The 24,064-nt window shown below is 34.3% G+C and overlaps 2 annotated features.

The window, feature by feature from the left end:
• Positions 3,035 to 4,234: an enhancer, noted in NCBI's record as "CDK7 strongly-dependent group 2 enhancer chr18:27453088-27454287 (GRCh37/hg19 assembly coordinates)". NCBI's record gives its function as "activates an origin of replication core promoter dependent on BRD2, BRD4, P300/CBP, MED14 and CDK7 cofactors, with strong dependence on CDK7, by STARR-seq in HCT116 cells {active_cell/tissue: HCT116}" and the evidence as "EXISTENCE:reporter gene assay evidence [ECO:0000049][PMID:35650434]".
• Positions 13,986 to 14,716: an enhancer, noted in NCBI's record as "OCT4-NANOG hESC enhancer chr18:27442606-27443336 (GRCh37/hg19 assembly coordinates)". NCBI's record gives its function as "activates a minimal SCP1, AML or CMV promoter by ChIP-STARR-seq in primed H9 embryonic stem cells {active_cell/tissue: H9 hESC(primed)}" and the evidence as "EXISTENCE:reporter gene assay evidence [ECO:0000049][PMID:30033119]".

Here is a 24,064-nt window from a genome sequence, read left to right as displayed (position 1 = left end):
CAAGGAGGTAAGGAAGTTAGGCTTTGAAAATAGAAGACAAAGAACAAGGGAGTTGAACAAGCAGAACCTTTGAAGAGGAACTCACTGTATCCAACAATTTCCCCTTCTTGATTTTCAAAATTCTTCCTCTTCAAACTTTTTAGCATGTCTTGACTCTGCCGTTACACTTGGTTTTCTCAAAGTAGGAGCTTATCTGAGTAAGGTGGAAGAATTAAAGGTTTTGACGAGAGCTGTTTCTATAAGTTTCTGCACTAATCCACAAATACAGAGTATAATGCAGTATCCTACAGTAATAAGAACACCTACAGCAATTGCGAGAGGTAAGGCCTCGTAAGGCCTTTCTAATTGTTCCATTGGGGGCTGTGTTATTAGGGATGGAATAAAGACAGACTGGTTGGTAAGCTCTTGGAAGGGCTTAAGCTGACTGCATCCTGTTAGGTCTCCAAGGAATGCTAAGGTTTCCCCCTGTCGTGAGAGACACGAGGTAAAATTGGCATTGTGAGATGGAGGCTGGATGGCCCTTGGGGGCTGACTTGCAGGGTGTCAGATTTCAGGGAATAGCAGAGAAAGAGACCTCAGCAGAATTCATTACCCCAGGCTCTGGGGCCTTAGAAGAGAACTACCATACAGCTCATGCCCAGGTGCCTGGAAGACCATCCAAGTGGTCATTGGGTATGGAAGGGATAAAGGAGGTATAAAAGGGTTAAATTTTTCTTAGCTTTAGTTTGGTAGGACTCTTCCCTGGAACAATGTCCCACGACTGGAGGTGGTGACGCCTTCTTGACTCAGGTATGATGAGTCCATCCTCTTTCTGCTGTTCAGACTGCAGTCTTGATGGTTAGAAGCACTAGGTCGGGTCCTTCCCAAGCATGTTCAAATTTTCCTTCTTTCCAGTTTTTGAGGAGGATGTAATCCCCAGGCTGATACTGGTGTGCTAGGAAATCTAGGGGTGGCACCTATTCTAAAAGACCATTAGTTCTGAGTGGAGAGAAAGAAGAAGATAGATGAAGTATAAACTGATCTTTTGTTTAGGAATGTCAGCAGTGAAGTGTAAATAGGGCAACCCATATAGCATCTCATAAGCGGATAAACTAACATCTTTCTGAGGGGCAGTTCAGATTCTTAACAAGGCAATGGGAAGGTATTTAGTCCATGGCAACCGAGTCTCTAAGACTGATTTGGTTAAGTGGCTGTTCAAACGTTGGTTCATTTTCTCCACTCTGCCTGATGAAGGTGGGTGCCAGGAGTATGGTATTCCCATGTTATGTCTAGCACTTGGGTTAATTTCTTAATGACATGCACAGTGAAATGAGTCCTATTATCTGAATTAACATTTTCTATTACTCCAAACCTGGGTATAATATTTTCAATCAATGCTTTAACCACATTATTAGCAGTTGCACTTGAAAAGGGAATAGCTTCCACCCAGTGAGTAAGGTGATCTACCATCACTAATAAGTATTAATTCCTTGTAGACAAGGTCTTGGCCTTTGCTATTAATGAGACCTCGTTCAGTCCAAATTTTTCCAAAGTTGTGAGCTACCCTGAAGGCATACTTGGAATCAGTATAAATAGTCCCTTCCTGGTTTTTGCAAGTGTTTCAAAGCCTGATTTAATGCAAACAATTTACAAGTTTGGGTGGACCAGTTATTAGCCCATCTTCCTGACTATATTTCTGCGAGAGCTTCCCCATCAACTACTGAATACCCGTTATGTCCTTTTCCTTCAGTTACCTGGGAAGAGCCATCCATAAATAAGTGCTGCCCTGTTTTGAAAGGGGTCTCTCTTAAATTGGGCCTGACTTTTGTATAATAATCAATTAAATCTAAACACTGATTCTCAGGTACTTTTAGATTTGGATTCCCTGTTAGGAAACTTGCTGTGTTAAATGAATTATCAGTGGTTAGTATTAAATCATCTCTTTCTAATAGGATAGTTTCATGCTTTAAAATCCTTGAGTCTGTGAGCCATCTTCCTGCTTTCTGGTTTAAAATATTTCTAACTTGATGGGGCATGCTTACAACCAAATTTCCCCCAAAGGTTAGCTTTCTGCTTTCTTCAGTTAATAAGGCGGTGACTGCAATAGGTTGAACACATTCGGGCCATCCACAGATTACTGGGTCTAAAACCTTTGATAGAAAGGCTACAGGTTGCCAGTGGCCCCCCATGTTCTTGGGAAAGTACCCTTAAGCTACCCACTTGTTTACATTAATGAAAAGGTGAAACAGCTTTTCTAGGAAGGTAAGGCTAAGGGCTAAGACAGGGGCAGTTATGAGCTGCTCTTTTAGTTCTTCAACCTGGTGGATCTCTTCAGAAGTCCACAGGAGAGGGTCATGTTTTTCTTGGGTAAGCTTTAAGTACGGGATTTTGTCTTTGGGGCATATGAGTCAATCCATAAGTGGCAATATCCAGTTAATCCTAAAAAACTCCTGAGTTCCTGCTTCGTTTTAGGCAAAGGCAAGAACACAATTCCTTCAACTCGCTCAGGTCCTATTATTCATTTGCCTTTACTTATTGAGTGCCCTAAGTATTTAACTCCAGGCTCTACAAATTAGAGCTTTCCCTTTGAAACCTGTAGCCCTTTTTCTCTTAAATGGTTAAGGAGGCCCATGGAGAGTAATTTTGGTGGACCTTATCCTTTGGAGCCCCCTGCTGGAAGGTGGATAACATAATTTTTGCTTTTTGTTTTTGCTTCTCTTCATCCCTCCTTATGTATACTTTCTGAGCTTCTCTAAGGAGTTAGTTCACAGGATGATCTTTCCAATTCTTTATTTTTTGTAATTTCCTTGAGATGTCTGCCCAACTATTAGTGACAAAATGAAGCTTTAGCATTCCCTGCTCAAGGGGATCTTCTAAATCTAGGCCCACATATTTTCTCATTTGCTCTTTTAGTCAGTCTAAGAATCCCATAGGCCCTTCATCTTTCCTTTGTTGTATGTTGAATGCTCAGGAAAGATTTTGTGTTTGGGGTACTGATTCCCAAATTCCTTTTATTATCATTTCCCTAAGGTCTTGCCTATTTTCCTGGTGAGCTGCATTGTTATTGTCCCTTCAGTGGTCTTAGGTGGGGAATTTTTGGTCTGTGGAGAGAACGTTTTGACCAGGAGAATGTTCACGTTCCCAAATTACCATAGCAGCCCTATGAATCATGCTCCTTTCTTCCCCTGAGAAGAGGATGTCCAGGATGGACGTTAACTAGGCTCAAGTATGCAACTGGATTGGACAATTAGATCCACCACTCCATAAGGGTCATCTAACAGTGGCTTGAGTTCTTTTTTCAAATTTTGAACTTCCAAGCTCGTTAAGGGGAAATTCGTGAAGCCAATGGCTCCCCGTCCTAGGGGCACCTCTCTTAACGGGAAGAGGGTGGGAGCTGATTCCTTAGAGGTAGAAGGGAAAGGGAAGCTCTGAATATCCTTTTTACATTGCTCTACCTCACATTTAAGTCCTTTTAAGGAAGGGTACTTAGGTGGTAATGAGCAGGCTCATGAGACAATAATTCCCAAGAGTCAGGGTTGTAAGGAGGAGGAATAACATGAGTAAGGGAAGGATCTGGGGTGGGGTCTGGGGCAGCAGCAGCTGCCTCCCTGATGCGGTGGGAGGTTAGGATCAGGGGTATTAAGTGGGCAAAGGCGTTCTAGGGGATCCCATACACCTGTAGTTTTCAGGGGATAAAGGAGTCTTGGGGTATTTCCCACCCTAGAGATTTGACCTGAGGCTCAATCCCTCACCCTAGAGATTTCCTACCTTTCCCTTCTCTAAAGGCTCAACCCCTCTTATTGGAGATTTCTTGCCTTTATCCCGACCACCAAGGAAATACTTTGTTGCCCCCCTGATGTTTCTTACCTTGGTCTGCACAGAGAGTTACCTGGTCGCCGCGGTATGTGAGGATCCTTTCTGCCTGCATTGCTGAGAGTCCAGGTTTATTTGTCACACTGGGTGGGTCCCAATTCCTTACCCTGAGGCCACTGCAACAAGGCAGTGAGATGCATCTTCTCATGAGAGGGGACTGGAAACCTTTCCCTGGAGGAGAATGGGAATCCCAGATGAGCCCCCAAATTGTTGGAAATAAGAGCTCGGAGTCACAAAGTAAACAAGCGCTCGAACAAAAGATTTCGCACCTAGGCAAATTTACTTCTGTAGAAGGGTGCTGCTCACTTTTCTGGTCACTGTGAGAGCACACTGAAGTAAGGAGGGAAGGGGTTTTTATCCCTAATGCAGTTAGTCCTTGCTACTGTGTCTGGTCCCCATTGGCTGGAGTCGGACTGCACAATCTAAGCTGACCTCAAATGGCTACTTCAAATGGAGTAGGGATGGGGCTGCAGTGGCAGGAAGAGCAGTTTTGGAACTAAGGGTGCCAAATAAGGAACAGATGTGAGTTGTTACAGATTGGGAATGGATGTGGGTTACAGACTGGGAATGGATGTGAGTTACAGATTTGGAATGGATGTGGGTTAGAGATTGGGAATGGATGTGGGTTACAGATTGGGAATGGATGTGGGTTACAGATTGGGAATGGATGTGGGTTACAGATTGGGAATGGATGTGGGTTAGAGATTGGGAATGGATGTGGGTTAGAGATTGGGAATGGATGTGGGTTACAGATTGGGAATGGATGTGGGTTACAGATTGGGAACAGCTGGAAGGTTGTTTACCATAACTAGGGGCAAGGAGGCAAGGAAGTTGGGCTTTGAAAATAGAGGACAAAGAGCGAGGGAGTGGAACAAGTGGAACTTTGAAGAGGAACTCACTGTATCCAACATTACAATACATCTTAGTCTATACTGGATAGCAGATGTCAGGTGGTGGTGTTTTATAGGGGAACTCTTTTCTTCCTGTTATGTCTTTTTCATGAATGGGAAAAGTTATAGTTGACTTTGATAATTAGTTTTAAGAATATAAAATTGGCCTGAAAAATTATTTCAAAAGTGGTTTGATAATAGACTTCTTTCTTTATGTGCTATTTTAGAATGTAGCGTACCTGGATGAATGTATGTAAAACACAATATACTCCTGCCTTCTTACCATGTAAGACATTGGCTTATTATGATTGCTATGATATAACTTTATCTTTTCAGAGCAATAGCTGTGTTTGGCTCATGTGTTACGGAATACCACATCTTCATTTAAAGATTCATCATTGCTTCTGATTATAGTCCATTACAATGAAGAAATTCCACTTGACTTAAGAAGCAAGATTTTCCCACTAAGCTACCATGGCTGCAAAGGGTTATATGAGCTTTGGTTTCATATAATCCTGTACTCAATTATCTTGCACTCATCATTCTTAACATTTTCAAGCCTGTAACATTTTTTAAGCATATGATGGATACATTCAAGAGCACTTCAGTTTTATTTGAAGTGTTCCACCTAGGTTTACTAAATGGAAATTATTTTTAGAATAGATGTTTTAGTTAACTGTGATGTTTCTCAGATTTTCAAACTAAACATTTGATTGTAATAAAATAAATTCCTTGCTTTTGGAGTGAATAAATGTATATCTTCACAGAACAGTTTATAACAAGATTGAAATTTAGTGTTGCTTTTCAGGGACTCAATTAGAATTAATACATGGACACCAAAAAGAACCAAAATATTTCTAAAATAATAAATATTGCATTGTTTTAAGAATGAATAATATGAAAATTCAAAACAATCATGTAAAAATATATGCTTTTCTAGGCATTGCAGAAACTAACAAAACCTTGCCCAATTCATGCCACAGCTTCTTCTCATCTTGATGAATTATAAAAAGAATCTGGTTATATTACAAGAGTAACATGAAAGTTCTGCCAACATATTAAGTTTTACACCCTAAAGAAGACAAGAGATCATTGCCAACACTTTTTGTAAGGACATGACATTTATTATGAATGTTTACAGCAGGAAGAGCCTGCGGGCTGCTAGAGAGCGTGTTGTCAGCTGGTACATGTCACTGTTTCTTTACTATGCATTCTCAGCCTGGCAAGGGGAACAATTGCTTCAGAAATCACTTTTCTGTAACATTTCATATGACAGTAACTAGTTAGTGTATAGATCACCATAAATAGCATCTTCAGCTTATTATCTTATGTCTTTTTTTTTATTCCATATTTCAGTATTATTCTCAGTGCCTCCCTTTGGCTGTCCTATGGCTCTGGCCTTAGCACTATTCTCTTCTTGCTTTTTTCACTCTCCTATGATGGCAAACAAATCTCTATTTCTAACTCTAATCTCCTTCCTGAACTTGAAATATATACAAAACTAACTTTATGCATCTGTCCTTGAATATCCCACAGGTATCTCAAAAATATATTTATCTTCATGTCTTTTAAAAAGATCATTTTATTGTAAAATAAAATATAGATATATAAAACCATAAAAGGCAAATATATAGATTACTGAACAATATTATTAGGCAAAAACACTGTACAATGACCACCTAAGTCAAGATAGAACTTTGCTACGTACCCCAAAAATATCTATTTACACTCTTTCAATCTTAGTGGTCTCCTCTCTTCTACAAATAACCACTGTCCTGACTTTTATATTGATTACTTCCATACAATGTTTTTGACGTTATCAACCACATACACATCAATAGGCATTGTATGGGATGGATTTCTATTGTGGTAATTCTCTTCCCTGTGTAGTTAGAAGTTAGCATTAGCCACACGAGACAAATTGCATAAGGTTTAGAAGCAGAAAGTAAAGAAGTAGTTGTATATTTTACAATAGCAGAGTCAATGGGAGAAACAAATCTTTTTGGCAAGATAAAAACCTTTTCACTAGGCTTCCTCATTACTACTTGCTAATTGGTAGAGTGGCTATTTCTAGACATTTTAAGTGGAGAAGCTAGAAAAAAAAATGATAGCTAATAACATACATTAATCATGCTGATATTTATCAATTTTGAAATTTCAGGATGTATACTTAATCTCCTGTGTATTACATCTCTATCTTCTTTTCCCATACTAAAAATTTTAGTTTTTAATAGCAAAAGGGACATCATAATAACGTTTCTTAAGTACTCATTTGTTGTATGCAAATTTACATGGACAACACTCACAATGTAACAATACTGTTGTTGCCACCACTAATTTTACTGATGGAAAGAAAAATAATGTCTTACGTGTGCTATTTCCATCTCTCTTTTGTTTGTGTGCTATATCTACATTGTCAGATCAAATGGCCATTATACAGCATATTGCCATTCTATAAATCCTCATTTAATCTTAGTTGTAAAAGTAAGCATATATGTATTGCTCATCACCATTTCTTATGTCAAAATCTCTGTATTTTGGTTGTCTGGAGTTCATTTTGTAGTAATTTTCTTTATTAATTTATATTTTGATCTTTATAGCAGCACCACAGTATCTTGATCACCATAGGTATGTAATAACATTAAATGAAGCAATTTGAGTCCTCCAACTTTTGTTATTATTTTCAACATTGTTTGGTTTATTCTGGATTCCTTTCATTTCCATATGAATATTAGGAACAACTTGCTTGTTTCTCCAAAAACATTGCAGCTGAGATTTTGATAGGGTATGTGTTGAATCATTAAATTGGTTTAGAAATATTGCCATCTTACCAACATTAAGTTTCCAATTCATGAATGCGAAAAATTTGTCCATTTATTTAGGTCTTTGAAAATTACCTTTAATGCAGTTTTCAGTTTACAAGCCTTGCACTTATCATGTTAAATGTATTCTTGTTTTGAATGCTTTGATATCTTTTGCAAATGGAATTGCTTTCAATCTGGTCTTGCATTGTTAATTTTTAGTGTCTACAAGGCAACTTATTCACAATGTTGCTCCAGAATCCTTCAACTATATTGAACATGTTATTGAGATATAGCTGTATTTGTGTGTATTCTTTTGATTTTTTTCTATAATGTTTTCGGTATTCCCTTATAATTCTTTGCATTTTTATAGGTTAGCAGGAATGCCTTCCCACTTATTTCAGATTTTAGTAGTTGGATCTTTTTTTCTTGTTTCTTGGTCAAATTAGCCAGTTCTCTAGTAATGAAACTTTTGGGTAGCTACAAACTTATTATTTCTCCTCCAGTGACTGATAGATTGCTTGATATGACTGCTAATATAGTGGAGAGGTTGTTGGTTTTCAACGCTTCTTTGGAGCTAGAGAGAGAGTGATGGGATTAGAAAAGGTAAAAATATAATAACATTTACTCTCCTTACCAGATTCAGCAATTATTCTTGAATAAACTTTCTTACATGGTCATAGCTTTTTGTTAATTTCTAAATTTAAAAAATGATTTTTGGCGATTTTGCCAATGTTATTGCTTTTAAATACACTTAAATTTTCAGAGATTAATATTCCAATATTCCACAAGTTGCCATCCTGGTTTTTTTTTGAGGGGGGTCAAATAACCTCTATTTTCAATCTATTAGTATTCGTTTTCTATCATATGTATATATATGTGTGTATGTGCATGTTATTTCTTTTGTAAAATATAGAAAAAGTATTGGTGATAGAATATACAGTGAAAGGAGAGAAATATGTAATCTTGAGGAAATAGTTTAGTTAATAGGTATAGGAAAATTAAAAGCCCAAAGTAAGAAAGAAGATGAGCTCATAGAAGTACCCACAGAAAGAAGATACGCCATCATAGAGACCACAGGAAGACAGTCAATGTGAAAAAGGGTCAATTTTGTAAATGGCTCTGAAAAATCAAGTGAGACGAGTTCTGAAATGTTCATGGACCTGTGAACATGCAAGTCATTGAACATAGTGAAAACTATTCTTATTGAATGGTGGCAGGTGCCATATTGGAGTGGGTTTGTTATTGAGTGTGGCTGTAAAAATTAATGGGTGTATAAACACATCTTTCTAGAAAATCAACTTTAAAGGACTAGCAAAAAACAGGAAAGTGTCTGAGACATTAGGTTCAAATATTTATACTTGTTTATGTTTTAAGGTTTTGAAAAGTAGCGTTAATATTAAGCCCAGATCTACTGAGAATGTATTTTGCCCTGTTTTTCCCTAGATACATATACCCACACACCACCCCCTATTGATTAAGCTGGGTAGTGAAATGTACATCTTTTATTTTATTTCACATGTTTTTCTGATTACAGAGTGATTGACTTCTACTATAATGTGGATTACGTACCTGAGATGCAAAAAATTAGAGATGCTTTTGGAATTTCTAACCAAAAATAAAATTAGGCTTTCATGTGACTTGAACTCCGTAAAATACCCATACATAGTGCTTAATACTATATTTGATACAATTTCCTATAGTTAATTGATCTACTTGTCAATAAGCCCGTGCCTAGGCACACCTACATGCCTTTAAACAATGATTTTCATGGTGGGAAAGTTAGGAGGAGCTTATTAGGGGCAGAGAGTTAAAAAGTTATTGTTTTGAATTAATATACCTACAAAACTAAAATGTCTGAATTCCTTGCAGGAGATCATTTAACATTTTATATAATCTTTCTTTCTGACTCTCCAGAAATATTATGTAAATCTTTTATGTTAAGAATAGTTGGCCTCTTCTAGTATCTAGCTGCATGACTGTCCTTGAGTTACTTTATACATTTATATCTCAACATACTTAACATTAATATGGAAATTATAATTTTCTATTGTGTTCTTTCATAGATCAAATATTATATAAATGTTAGGCATTTTTATCACTACCAATATAATAGAGCCCTATTACCACCACTATAATAAACCTCTAACATCAAAAGGATATTTACAATGTTGCGCCAACTTATTTATGACTTGCTATGAAATTATTTTGGTTTTCATAATAAATATGGATACAACCTTACCCAGCCACGCCATCAAGAACTCTTGTTTATGTTTACAAATATTAACTAGCCATAATGCATAATACTTGAAATCTGAATTTCTAGAGTCTGATTCAGGTTATAGTTGAAACTCTCGGACGTAAGTCCTAATATTGCAACTGATCAAGCTACCTACCTTCTCTTTGCCATAATTTAATAATCTATAATATGGGAATAATTACATCATATATCCTATAGGGTATGATGAGAATTAGACAGTTGAGTATATATGAAAAAGAATTTACAATATATCAACAATAAATGTAGCAATGATCACTTAAAAACACTTTGAACAGAGGAGTAAATCCTTGGCACGAGAAAGTAGTCAATAGTTTCTCAATACGATAGTAATTTTTCCCTATTGGGAGTCTTAGACAAGAAGGTATTATTTCAATATAATGATATTTCTCCCTTGAGTCTTAAACAAGAATATAGACTTTGGTCAAAAACTGTGATCATTTGAAATAAACCTTATAAACTTGACCCACATTGGTAAATGCTTGGAAACGTAACCCATAAGCCATGATAATCGAATATGCTCAAAATTTGGAATTATCAAACCATTCTTATAGAATTGTTTCATTCATGGTAATTATTAAATTAACTATTGAAAAGTAAAAGTATAATTTTTCTCTTTTTATTTTGTAGGCTAAAATTTTAACTGCTTTACTAAGATATAATTTATATACCATACAGTTCATGCATTTAAAATGTACAATTCAATTGTTTTTACTATATTCAGGGAGTTATGCAACCAGCACCACAATCAATTTAGAACCTTTATCACTCAAAAAATGAAACCCTGTATTTTGTACCAGTCACTCTTATTTCTCCCCAACTCTCCCTTCAGCCTTAAATGAACAGTAATCTACTTTCTCTCTCTATAGTTGTACAGTAATTTTATTTTAAATAGCAGTGAGCTACATTTAAAAAAAAATCTTCAAGTAGTAAAAAGCTAGATATTGCAAGAACCTGAAAAGAGTAAAATTTAACTAAAATCTACCTCTTGCCTATTTTGAAAAATTATATATATTCTCTTAATAAAGAAACATATCAAGTGTAAAGATAGGGTTTGGATTCTGGGTATATCTGAATAAATCTGGAGCAGGTTACTTCATGACTGCATTTAACAAATAAATCAATTTTGGCATTGGATTTGATTTAGTATTAAAATTCAAATGTGGATGGCTCATCTTTCAATGAAAAATATTGAGAGCAGTTGTATTTAGATAATGAAATGCAAGCAGCAATATAAGTGGAATCAAATCAAAATCTATCTTAAAAAATTTTTCTGAGGGACCACTAATTGCCCTGAGTTTGGTAGTCTGTCTTACTTTACTTTCAGTCTTTTTGGAGACTATATGTGACAAGACAGATTTGGTTAATTATATATCATTTCATCCTGTACAATAATTTATTTTTTATTTTGATAGACGTTTATCTCTCTGAAGAATCAGTAATCTCCAATAGTTTATGTGTATATATTTTACTATTACTTGAATGACTCATTATTGCTTTACTTTTTAAAGATTTTAGATGCAGTCGCACACAACTCCATTAACATATATTTTATGTACTTAAATTATGTAATAGTGCATAAATAATTTTTAGCTAATCACCCATGCAAGCATATGCCATATTAGATTGTCGCACATATAAGATTAGTAGTGCCCTACTCCTAAAATGATTAATCAGAGTCATCTTACCTCTAAAAAGAGAAGTGCTGTAAGTATGTGAAAATATATATAGCTTGTAGGTTAATACTGTCCTGATGTCTAAAAGGGACTTATAATTGGTTAAAAAATTATTTATGTTAATCTTTTTTTTTTTTTTTTTTTTTTTTTTTTGAGACGGAGTCTTGCCCTGTCGCCCAGGCTGGAGTGCAGTGGCGCGATCCTGGCTCACTGCAAGCTCCGTCTCCCGGGTTCACGCCATTCTCCTGCCTCAACCTCTCGAGTAGCTGGGATTACAGGTGCCCACCGCCACGCCCGGCTATTTTTTTGTATTTTTAGTAGAGACGGAGTTTCAACGTGTTAGCCAGGATGGTCTTGATCTCCTGACCTCGTGATCCGCCTGCCTCGGCCTGGCAAAGTGCTAGGATTACAGGCGTGAGCCACTGCGCCCGGCCTATGTTAATCTTAAAGACACTAAACATTAAGTGGTAAATGAAATAAATCTATTAAGTGCAAAACAATGTATCATTCTTCCACATTGAAACTAATATAGCTTAGCTATGTTATTCCTTGCAAGAACGTGGCACTTCAATTTTAGAAGAAAAATACAAAAGATAACACATAAAAGAATTGGAATGTAATGATTTATAATGCATGATAATATCTGCCTAAAGATTAATTTTTTCCTAGTAAAATTCCCTGGAAGAAGACACTGAAAAGAATGATAGCTGAACAACACTATTAAGACATAAATGGAAAGTGATAGGTGACAATAAACTGATTATTGATTCTGCTCTTGTATATTTCTATGGTCTTGGACAATTCCTTAATTCTTATAAATTCTTCATTTTTTTCACCTGTAATGTAAGATGTCTACAGAACTTGATTTCTTATAACTTACATCGACATATCGATCTAAATAGTTTATAAATAACATTCACAGGCAGTCTTTTAATCATTACTACAATTCACTGAAGTAGGCAGTACCTATTATTATTGCTTTGTAGACATAAAATTTGAGCCCAGATGGCAAAACCACTGTGCATGGCGACAATACTAATCAAATAACTACATCTTTATAATTTGTGTGGCTCATTTAATCACCCTGTAAACTCTTTTTCATTAATATAGAATAATGTGTTTTCCATTACTGTTTTGCTACCCATATTTTGATTTTGTTTTCACTTATTCAAAGAGACAATGTTGAAATTTGTAAGAACTTCTACCATTACATGCAGAAAACACATGTCAAATATTAATGGCATGCTAGAAAGAACATGGAGGTTAAAATCAGAAGTTCAAAATCATGTCATTTCTTTTGCACAAATCAGTTTTATACCTTTGGCCTTCACTTCCTCATTCTGTAAATGAGAAAGTTGGGGCTCATTTACCTCCAAGATCCTTTCTGTCTTTATAATCTGTAATGAAAAAAAAAGCTAGGCCGTTGTAAAAAAGAGTAAGGATATTTTTTAAATACTTGGTTTCTTAATTATAGTCTTCTCTGTAGATATATGTTGATCTACCTGTCTAGCATTAATTCCCTGGGCTTTCACCATTTTTTGTGCCTTTTAAATATTGACTAAATAAATAATTTATTTAAATATTTTATAATAAAAAGAGAAAGGGAAAATAAAAGAAAGATGAATCACATTTTAAGTAAAATAGATATTAATAAAGTAGAATATATCCTTTAATAAAAAATCATCTTTTTCATCAATCATATTATTAGACATACAACACAAAAGAAGAGCTATTAGATATCCTACTAATTAATTCAATAACTGGTATTAATTTATTATTTTTCACATTCATTCTTTCTTTTTTAACATAATTAACATTGTTATGGGTATAAAAGTATTATGCTCATTTCTTTATTCTTTTCTCGCTGTTAATAAGGTAATTATGTTTTTGTTTTTGTTTTTTTATTTGAAATGGAGTCTTGCTCTGTCTCCAGGCTGGAGTGCAGTGGTGCAATCTTGGCTCACTGTAACCTCTGCCTCCCAGATTCAAGCAATTCCCCTGCCTCAGCCTCCCTAGTAGCTGGGACTACAGGCGTGCACCACCGTGGCCAGCTAATTTTTTCGTATATTTAGTAGAGATGGGGTTTCACCATGTTGGCCAGGATGGTCTCAATTTCCTGACCTCCTGATCTGCCTGCCTCGGCCTCCCAAAGTGCTGGGATTACAGGTGTGAGCCACCACGCCCAGCCAGCAATTACGTATTTTAATCCTCAAGAGTTTATCAGAAAGCTATGCCTTTTCTTATGTAAGTTAAATGGACGATATTTTTTCTGCTTGACTTTATTTTAAGCTGCCCTTTCCAAGCTTAAATATATGCTTTCTTATTATTATTATTTTATATAATTAAATGTTTTCTGAATTTCTGTTTAGGACTTTGAATATTTTGTTCAGTCTACCTCCTTAAATGTTACTCAGAAGTGCACTGTGAAAAACAGTGGCAGAAGGCTTTTCTGCAAGATGAGAAAACTAAAATGTTATTAACAATATACCTCATTAATGTCAATTAATAATAAAATTTATTCTTGACACTTAAAAGCATACCTTTTCTTCATTGAACTAAAGTTTCTTTGAAAAGAAGGGTATTTGGTAAAGTTTATAAAAATATGGATACTGTGTTACTTTCACCAAAACAAAAACTAAGATTTTTATTTTACATAATGATAGGAATCAGTCATGAACTCCTACAGACTTTAATAAGAGAGAATCACCTAAACTGAAGTGATGTACTATCCATTTAGATGCTACATAATTATACAACTCAACATTGAGTTAGAAACTTCCTGATTCTTCAGTGCAAGGTCCTGCCAGGAGAGCAGCATGTGATCATTTGAAGTTCAAGAGGACTTTATCAGCAGGATAAAGGGCAGCATTCATCCTAATTTACTGGATTGTTCTCCTTTTATCCTCCCCAGTGAGAAGCAGTGGTTAAGAATTTAAATTCTTTAATTACACAGACTGGGTTTGAATCTAGTCTCTACTATATACGAAGTGTATATTCCAAGTCAAGCTAATTTTATAACTTAGTCTGCCCTTCCTCAACTGTAAGCAGGGAAAATATCTCATTAGTTTGTTGTGAGAGATAGCTGACAAACATGCATGTACATGGTATTGCACAATGCCTGGACAAAATAAATGCTAAAATATTATCTCTGATTAATATCCTCCAGCGGCATGTGATTTGTACTGGGTAACTTCAACTACATGTCCACATATATTCCCTTTATCCAAAGAATCATGGTCTATTATTTGAAGATGATACTCTTTCCCCAAGATTCTAAGAGCTTTAAGAAAAATAAGAACCTAACAGCTGAATAACAGGATGAAAATACAGGTGAGTTTTAAGACTATCTCCTAAATTAGACTACTGCAGGAATCCCCAGATGATTAGCCATTCTGTGGAGAATATGCTTAGCTACCAGGAGGCACCTGCTTTGGCAGGAAGTCCATTTTATTTTAGACAGTTCTAACTGTTAGCAAGCTCTCATTTAAGTAGAATCTTTGGAGAAACAAATGGCAGTTGCTCAAATCATCAGGGAAGTGGCTACACCTTCTCCTCCTCCGTGTTATGTATGTCTGTCTCAATTCTTTCATTCCTCAGTTACTTTTTTTTTCTTGAAACGATGTATTTTCAAGAAACAAGATTACATTTTTAAATATAATTGAGTTAGCTAACAATACTCTTAAATAATTACACATGGGATAAAACACATCGTTCTGGAAGGATTTCAGATCCTTGACTCCCAATATGTGATCCATGATGGATTATTGGTACCAGCTAGAAACTCCAGTCTTAGCTCAGACTGACTGATTCAGGAGCGCTGCTCTACAATATCTGTTTAATTAGTTACCCTCCTTAACAAGCATGTCCTAACAATGACAGTGCTTAATGTTGCAGTTATTCTTTAGAAATAATGTCAAACTATTTCCTAACATGGACAGTGATTTTATTTAAAAATCTCTAATCTTTTTCACATGAATTATGGCTTAGTCAAGTTACTTAAACATCAGGGCTGTAACTATTATTCCAAAGACTCCTTTATGTTATTTTTCTTCTAGAAGTTATTGGCTACCTCTTATGAAATGTTGTTATAACAATGTCATTCATTTTGTTAATCACAATATGTCTAATCTTCTATGGACAAAAAATTAAATAGAAAACGTGACAAATTATAAAGAGAATTAGCCCTCCATAAAGCCTAAAGTATTCTCTGACCACAGCTAATAAGTTTTATACATGAATGGTATAACATCATTTTGGCCAAATAAATGTATTTTTTTCCATTATTGTCTACACATGGCTTCAGCCTAAAATGGAGAAATTGTCGAATAAATGTATTTAGGAAAATGAGGTTTTATTGAAATACCAATTATTGCCATTTTATCTTAAATGACTTGAAGAAAATGCCACTTTGTTTCTCATATCTATACCTAATATAAACTGCCATTCTATTTATGATTATCTCTAAATATATTTGAGAAAACTCAGTTCTGATTTTATTCTGATTTTATTACAAATTAGAAACAAGAAACATAAGCCCTAGTAGAACAATTGAAATGAAAAAATTGTTAGTCTCAATATCAGTGCTAAATTTATTGTCATGAGCATAATTTCACCTAGAACACAAAACTGAACTCCCTTTCAAATATAAATTCCCATTATGCCATATATATTTTGTACTGCATAATTGAATACTTATGAAAAACCAGAATGCTTATATTAAATCAAATTAAATTACATTAGAAACTAATCGAGTTTTGTTAAGAAGCCTTTCAGAATGCCTTTTAAATTATTGGACTATTTTATTAATAAGTAAAAATGACTAAAATGACAGTGAGAAGTATTTTAAAAAATATACTGCCTTGCTAAGATCAAACATGAGTACCCAATTGAATTCCTTTTTACAGTTTAATAGCAACCTTGAATATTTCTAAATAATAAGACCTGTGTTGAAAACACAAATACCTCTCTAGGACATAGCTGAGACAAAAACCACTATATTAATTATTAGATAATTACATCTGCTTTCTAACTCAGTGATGTTTTATTTTAAGATTGTTACTATAAAAGTCAGTCCAGAAAGTATTTAGAAAGTAAACTTAATGCAAGGTTGGCTGTACTTTGCTTTTGATATTGAAAATCAATGGAAATAGTAAGATGTTTGTCAGGAAGCAAAATAAATATATAATGTATATATAGATCTACCTATTTGTCTGACACTACCTAACACCATTTTGTGTCAAGCTTAACAATAATGAGCTGAAACAATTAAAGATGTACAGAAGCACCATAATGAAAGAGCCAGATAAACTATAGGGAACATCTCAACTTAATATTATATAGGTATATTGTACCTGGGAATGAATTTTTAGCTGAAAATATATAAACATCTGAAACAGTTGCAACTAATAATGACCAAAATATTCTGAAACAAGTTTATTAGGGTAATCCATATCATCCTATATATTTAAATCCTATATATATCCTATATATTTAAAAAGGCAAATAAATGTAAGATATTTGGCATATTGCTATTAAGAAAATTAAATACTGTTGATATTATAGAGATCAACATTTTTAATTTAATTTAACTTAATGATATTTTTAATGTATTTATGGAGATTATTATACAGAGAGAATTAATAAGTTTTCCACAGGTTTCATTTTTGTTATTTTATTTTATTTTTATTTTTTTGAGACAGCGTCTTACTCTTTCACCCAGGCTGGAGTAAACCGGTGTGATCTTGGATCACTGCAACCTCTGCTTCTCATGCTCAAGCGATTCTTCAGCCTCAGCCTCCTGTGTAGGTGGGACTACAGGCACAAGCCACCAACATCAGGTTAATTTTTTTTTCTTTTTTTGGAATGATGGGGTTTTGCCATGTTGTCCAGGCTGATCTCAAACTCCTGAGCTCAAAGCAACCCACTCACCTCAGCCTCCCAAAGTGCTGGGATTACAGGAATCAGCCACTGCACCAGGCCCAGATTTAATTGATATATATTCATTGGGTTAATAATTTGTGAAATAGAAATGTTACAGATCTAAAAATTAGTAATTAAGGCTACAAACTGCTGAATTACATAGTGTTTCTTATACCTTCCTGTGCGTGTGCTTTTTCTTTAAGCTTGGATTTCTGACCCTATTCTTCTCTTACTATTCACTTCCTCTCATTCCAGGCATATACAAATGCCCATCTACAATATGAAACCATCTCCTCTCTGAAGTCTTTGTTCATCATCAGTTCCTTGAATTCCTGAAAGCTACTTACAGGGCAGCATAATATGCCAATGAACTGTTTTTCATTAAAGTAAATTAATTTATCTGGTCCTAGTAAGTAAAGAGCAATTCAAAAAAATTAAGTACATAGCATGGATTAAAAAAATTCATAAAACAACAACAAAACAAAAGATATTAAATGAAGCATATGTTCATAAAAGGAAAGTATTTGGGTTGAACTTCTAGGGCTCTGATCACTTGAGAAAGTAAATGACTCCAAGTAAAGTAGGGAAATATGAGAAAGAGATACAACAAAAGAAAACAGGATTTTCTCTTATTTTTGATATGACAAGAAATATACTTTGTTTAAAAATTGTTTCTGTTCAATTTATAAAAACAAACAAAACAAAAACTAAAAAACAGCAAAACAAACCAATAATAACTAGAATAAAAAGTACTCATCCCCTAAATCGAAAAAGCTTATACACAATCCGAGGTTTGTTTCTTTATTTCTCAGACCATTGCCTAGGAGGTCGGAAGCTAGGGATTTCAGAACTTTCCCATTGAATCCTCTACATCTATCAGGACGCAATGGTAGAGACACCATGGAGGATGGTGTGAAATGTTTGAAAGGTCAGATGTGAGGCAGTGCGCCATAATGTACATTATTCCCACTCTTATTTTATTGGCTAGAACTCTAATACCATTGACCTCACATAAGTCCAAGGGGACTGGGAATGAAGTTAAGTAATGCATACATAATGAACATGAGAAACAAAAATATTGATGTTTACTTGCATCCTGTGCTTACAACAGATTGGCCATGCAAGTGGCCCTATTTCCAAGAGCCCCTTATTAATTTGTAGAATACCATTCAAAGTACAAAACCAGGGAGAAAAAGAAGTACAAACTACTACCGTGCTGCATAACAGATGACATAATTATGATCTCTGTCAAGCACATGGTGAAGCTGTGAAAATCAATGTACACTGCTATATAATTCTAAACAACATTGTAAATTTGAGAACCTATGTTTATATTTGGGAGAGTGAATGTGGGTGTGTTTGTGTGTGCATGCATGTGTGTCTTTTAATTAATAATTTTCTATAATTTGATGATTTGAATTGATGAAAAGTTTCATCTTTACCTCTCACAAACAAACAGAATGCAAATAAATGTGCAATTTGAGCTAAAATCCACACTTGTGTTCCGCAGAAGCCTTGCAATTATAAAATATACTGCTGGAAATTTAAGTGTCTTATTGTTTGACTGGATGAAAGAAGCTTGAGGAAAGAATAAGTCTGATACTCAAACTAAAACCTATGGGGGAGCATCGGGTAGATTTCATTAAAGGGGAGAACAAGTGGCATCTTGGGGTTTTTAATATGGGAGGTGGCTTCATAGTTGAGGAGTAAGCAGAAGTACAGAGAAGTATGTTTAGATGTTAGGGCATATCTTTCAGGCCTCATACAGGTTATTTTTCCCCTTATATTAAAAAATAGTTACATTAAGAGTATTATTTTAATTTCTCTTCTGCCCATGAGCATTATGTTGAATATAACTTACCTTCAACTTATCTGTAAAATTGGGTAACCCCATAAGAACTTGAGTATGATTGTGTGGGAAAAATACATATGACCACAAATGGAGGTGTTTTTTGGGGCATTTCATGTGGAAGTGGTAGAGTGCTGTGCAGGGATTCCAAGCTGTGGCTCCTGGCAAAATGAACTTTGGCCCACAGTATTAGGATTGCTGGGCAAGGCCCACAATGCTGTCAGTAGGATGGCAGGGAAGTTAAACTTGCATTTTCACAAAGAACAGTAAATGAGGACCTCTGGATTAAGGAAAGAAACACTAGCTGAGAATCAAGTTACTTGGGAAGAGTTCTATAGTCCCTTCAGATGAAAAGAGCAAGTTCAGGCTAGATTTATAGTAGAAAGGGACAGAAATGAAACATATTATTAAAAACATCATGTCCCTAAATGTAGTATGAGTAAGCAGAGAGTTAAAAACTTATTTCTATATTCAATGGGCAATGTTTTCCCTTATTGAGATTGAACATTATGGATAAAGAACACATTGCATATGTGTTTTGACAGGCAGAATTTTTATGTTTCAGCAAATATTCATTGAGTTTTTCATTCTTTATTTTCCCCCTCAATCCTATTGCTAAGAAACAGAAATCTGGAAATTGTGCTGATTGCTTTGTAAATCTGTTTATTACCGCCATTTGTAAATTAATTCAAAATTTTTATTTTTCTCCATGTGTACCAACAACTTTGAATGCCCTAGCAATGGTATGTAATGGTAATTAAGAAAATACTATTGTATTCTGTTTTGAACAAAGTTTTACATACAAAAGACTATTTTTAAAGAAATGCTGTCAAGATACTGTTTTTCTTTTAAAATGAAGTGGTGTAATGTTCTTTTTACATAATAAGTCCCTTAATAAGTCAGCTGAAAATATGACTCAGCTGACAAAAGATGATACATCCCTAACTTTTTGGAAAATATCAATGTAAGTAAACAACAAGAGGCCAGGAATATGAGCAAACTCACTAAGAAATCTATAAAATGCAATTTTAATATCTAGATAAATTTTCATTTTAAAATTATAATCACACTAATTTTTAAGCCTAATGTTTCTGTTAAACTTTGGTTACTGGCATGTATCCTTTGAGTATTATTTTAAGCCTCTAAAATATTAATTTATATCTGGGGAGATCTCAATCATTAGGGAAAAGAACACTTTAATGACTATCGTTTGAAAGATAGTGCCTAATAGTGCATGCAGTATTAGCAATTCACAGGAGACCTTAAATTTGAAAACAAAAAAAAGTGCATTAAAGAAAAGTGAGTTGAAGGAAACAGAGCATGTTGAGTAGTAAGTGTACTTGGGAGAGATGAGCTGTCAACCTCAAATGAAAAACAACAATCATAATTAAAGCAAAATAAGAATTAGTTGCGTTTGCAATGTTTATGGCATGTTCTTAAGGCTGTACTTTGAAAACATGAGTACAAAGGATTCAGTCTTCTGCCTGTAGATCTATAACCTACTTTATTTTTTGACTTATTAATTTTTTAATTTTTGTTTTCAGTTAAAGCTTTGCCTAAACCTACTGAGTTTCAAGACCATGATTATTTATTTTGATCTTCTTTGGAAAAGGCCACTAAATATCATCAAATACCTTGGGAAGACAGTATGTATGCGTTTTTGTGTATTTCAAGTAGAATCACCTAACTCTTAAAATATCTCTAATGAAGTGTTTTTCTTCAATTCTGGTGGTAATCCATGCTAATGTAACCACATGAGGAGTCTGGTCTTTCTTAAGACCAAAAACGATAAAAAGCACTTTTTAACCTGTTAAATGCCAAGATAAGCATTAGAGTCAAAGATCTGGAGCTACATGGAGTTTACTGAAAAATTATAATCTATAGGATCTACAAGAAGTTTTACATAAACAACTATTTTATGGTGTGCAATGGAGGCAAAGGACATATTGACCAAAGAGGTTAAAGTAAGAATCCTGTAAACCATGATGAGTGTCTAATTTTTCTGAATTCAGTTACAAGGATAAACTAGAGACTATGTATTGTTTTATGCCTCTGAATAAGGAGTTAGGTAAACAAAACACATTGCAATTACTCACAGTTATAATAATTGTTCTATGCATAGCAAGATGCTTTGTTTGAATTCATATGATTAATTCTCTCAGAGAAAGGCCAATACATTTTTAAGTCTTTTGTTTTTAGAGCCCACAGCTGCCTAAGAATAGGCACATCCATTTTCTCAACCATGTAAAGTGTGCTTATGACCTCTACTTCCTTCCTCCCTTCTGCGATGCTATTAGCAGGTTCTGTGCAACAGCCAAAGACCCATTAAAAGGCAGAAATGTGATTTTGATCTTTTCAGTTTCTCACTAAATTACAGAATCAGTTCTCTGGTTGGCAGCTGCTGACAATTTTATAACAGTTTATTTTTCAGCACCTCTCTGAAAAGCACCAATTTATAGTTTAAGGTGCTCATTTATATCAAGACAGAATCCTCATTGGGTAGATGGGTCATTCTTGCAAACATTTGGTTTGCAAGTGACCTTCATGCTTCCAATTTTGTCTTCAGAACAAGAGAAAAAAAATACGTTTTAATTTTTATTTTGAATAGAGTCAGATACAGTTTTAAAGCTTACAACTTCCTACCTTCAGGGAAGGAGAATAATCTCTTAGAAAGTAATTTACGTGTGCTCCTAAAAATGAAAGCTGTGAAGTTGAATATGTGCTTAAGTATATTATAGTTAACACAAATTCTCTCAATATGCATCTGGCCTGGAGTTTTATGTTTGAGAAGTAGTAAAACCTTTTAGCATTTTCCCTCTCCTAAGATGCACTTTCTCATTTGATTTTCCTTCTTGTTAAAAGTGCATATTCGACTTACAACAAAAATGTTTCTTATCTTCATTTCTGAGATTGAAATATTAAAATGTCTATAAAAACTCTCTAATATAATTGTAACTGTAACACAAAATCCATTGTTCTTATATTTTTTCTTAACTACAGATTAATGCAAATAAAAAATCAGAAAAAAATTATGTATTAAGATACAACATTCTTAATTAAAATTCTGCTTGATGTTATATTACTGAGTAAGTGCAAACAGAATGTCCTGTTTATATAGGTAAATAGGAGTATGTAACTATCTTGAAGTTCAACCAATATTTATTGCATATTAGTTATAATCACAAAACGTCCAAAGCCAGATCTTTTAAAGGGATATTATTTGGTTCCAGTGGAGCCTCTAATTACATGGGTATTACTTTAAAATGTTAAGAAAAGATAATTTCATTAAATTGTGGTTAAATGTTATGCTGAACATATATCCAAGATGCTTCCTTTCAAGATGAAAAGATAATAATTATTCTAGCCATTATTGTTCAGCAAAGATTTTCTGCTGAAAACAACAGTTGACCAGTGACATACAAGGCTGAGGGGAATTAACCAGCTGAAGACAGGGAGAAGAGTTTTTCAGTCAAAGAAGCATCGTGAATAAATCATCAGCCTATGATAGAAGGGTATATGCTGGGAGCTACAGTTTAAAGTGCAGGACACAGAGTGGTAAATGTTGAATTAGAAGTAGTCTGGGTCACATCATCAAGGACCTTTAAGCCTAACTATGGATATTAAACATTTCCCTTTAGCTGTTAGAGAGCAATTGAGAATTTTTAAACAAGAGAGCGAATAGCACAGTCATATTTTATTTAAGAAGGATGAGTCTGCATGCAATTTGGAAGATCATTTTAAGATTGACAAGACTGGATGAAAGAACACCATTTAAGTACAGATTAGAAAGGTCTAGATAATAAATCAATAGGGGGCTGAATAAAGTGGTGATATAAATAGAGATAGAACATTGGAATGTACTTGAGCCATATTCAGAAAGAAAATTCTACAAGACTTGTTAAAATATGAAATGAGTGAGAATGAAAAACAGAGAGGAATTTGGACTAACTATTAAATTTCTAATGTTTATAACTGGATGCATGATAGAAGCCTAGGGTAATTTGGAGGCCGGAAAGGGGAGAACAGAGGAATAATTTTGTGGAAAAGATGTTAAATTCAGATTTGCACAATTCAAATTTGAAGTAACAATGGGACATTTTAGAGAGCTTTCCATGGAGCATTTAAATGCAATTTTGTCAGCTCTAGCTTTAGGTTGGAGTAAATACATTCAACCAAATATTTGAGCTTCAAGAATTGAGAGATGTTCTCATGATAAAAAAAAATAAATAAATCATGTTAGGTTATTTTAAATTGTCTTACTTAATTGTTTCCCCCCAATTTTTTTACTTACTTTTATATTTTTCCTATTTTTTTTGGATAAGATAAAAATCATAAGTCAGTTATTAGCTATACTAAATCCAATTAATAAGGCTTTTATTAAGATTTCAGTTTTCTTAATATTTATTGTTAATTTTGATGATAAGACTGCCTAAATTACTAGACAATCTCTTTGAATTTTTATAGGTATCTCTGTTTTTTCTCATGTTTGAAAAACCTGTTTTAGTAAATCAAATAGTAAATTGAATAGAATTTGCTATAAACCAATTAGATTCTTAAATTCTAAAAAAGCTGTAATATAGTTTTATTATAGCTATATTAAATGTCTATATTGAATATAAATCCTCCAAAAGGATATCATAATATACTATAGTGATAATTTTTAATATTAGATGTCCAAAGTACAACACACAATCATAACAGATTTGTTTTTTAGCCTTACATTCCATCTCTGATGAACTCAGAGAATTCAAAGATGAGTGAGTAATAGGACAGCCAGCCAAGTGTAGTAAAAAGCACAC

The sequence above is a fragment of the Homo sapiens genome, chromosome 18 (genome assembly GCF_000001405.40).
Source record: "Homo sapiens chromosome 18, GRCh38.p14 Primary Assembly".
Taxonomy (NCBI): domain Eukaryota; kingdom Metazoa; phylum Chordata; class Mammalia; order Primates; family Hominidae; genus Homo; species Homo sapiens.
Note: the sequence above shows the minus strand (reverse complement) of the source record. Positions and strands in the feature narration are given on the sequence as shown.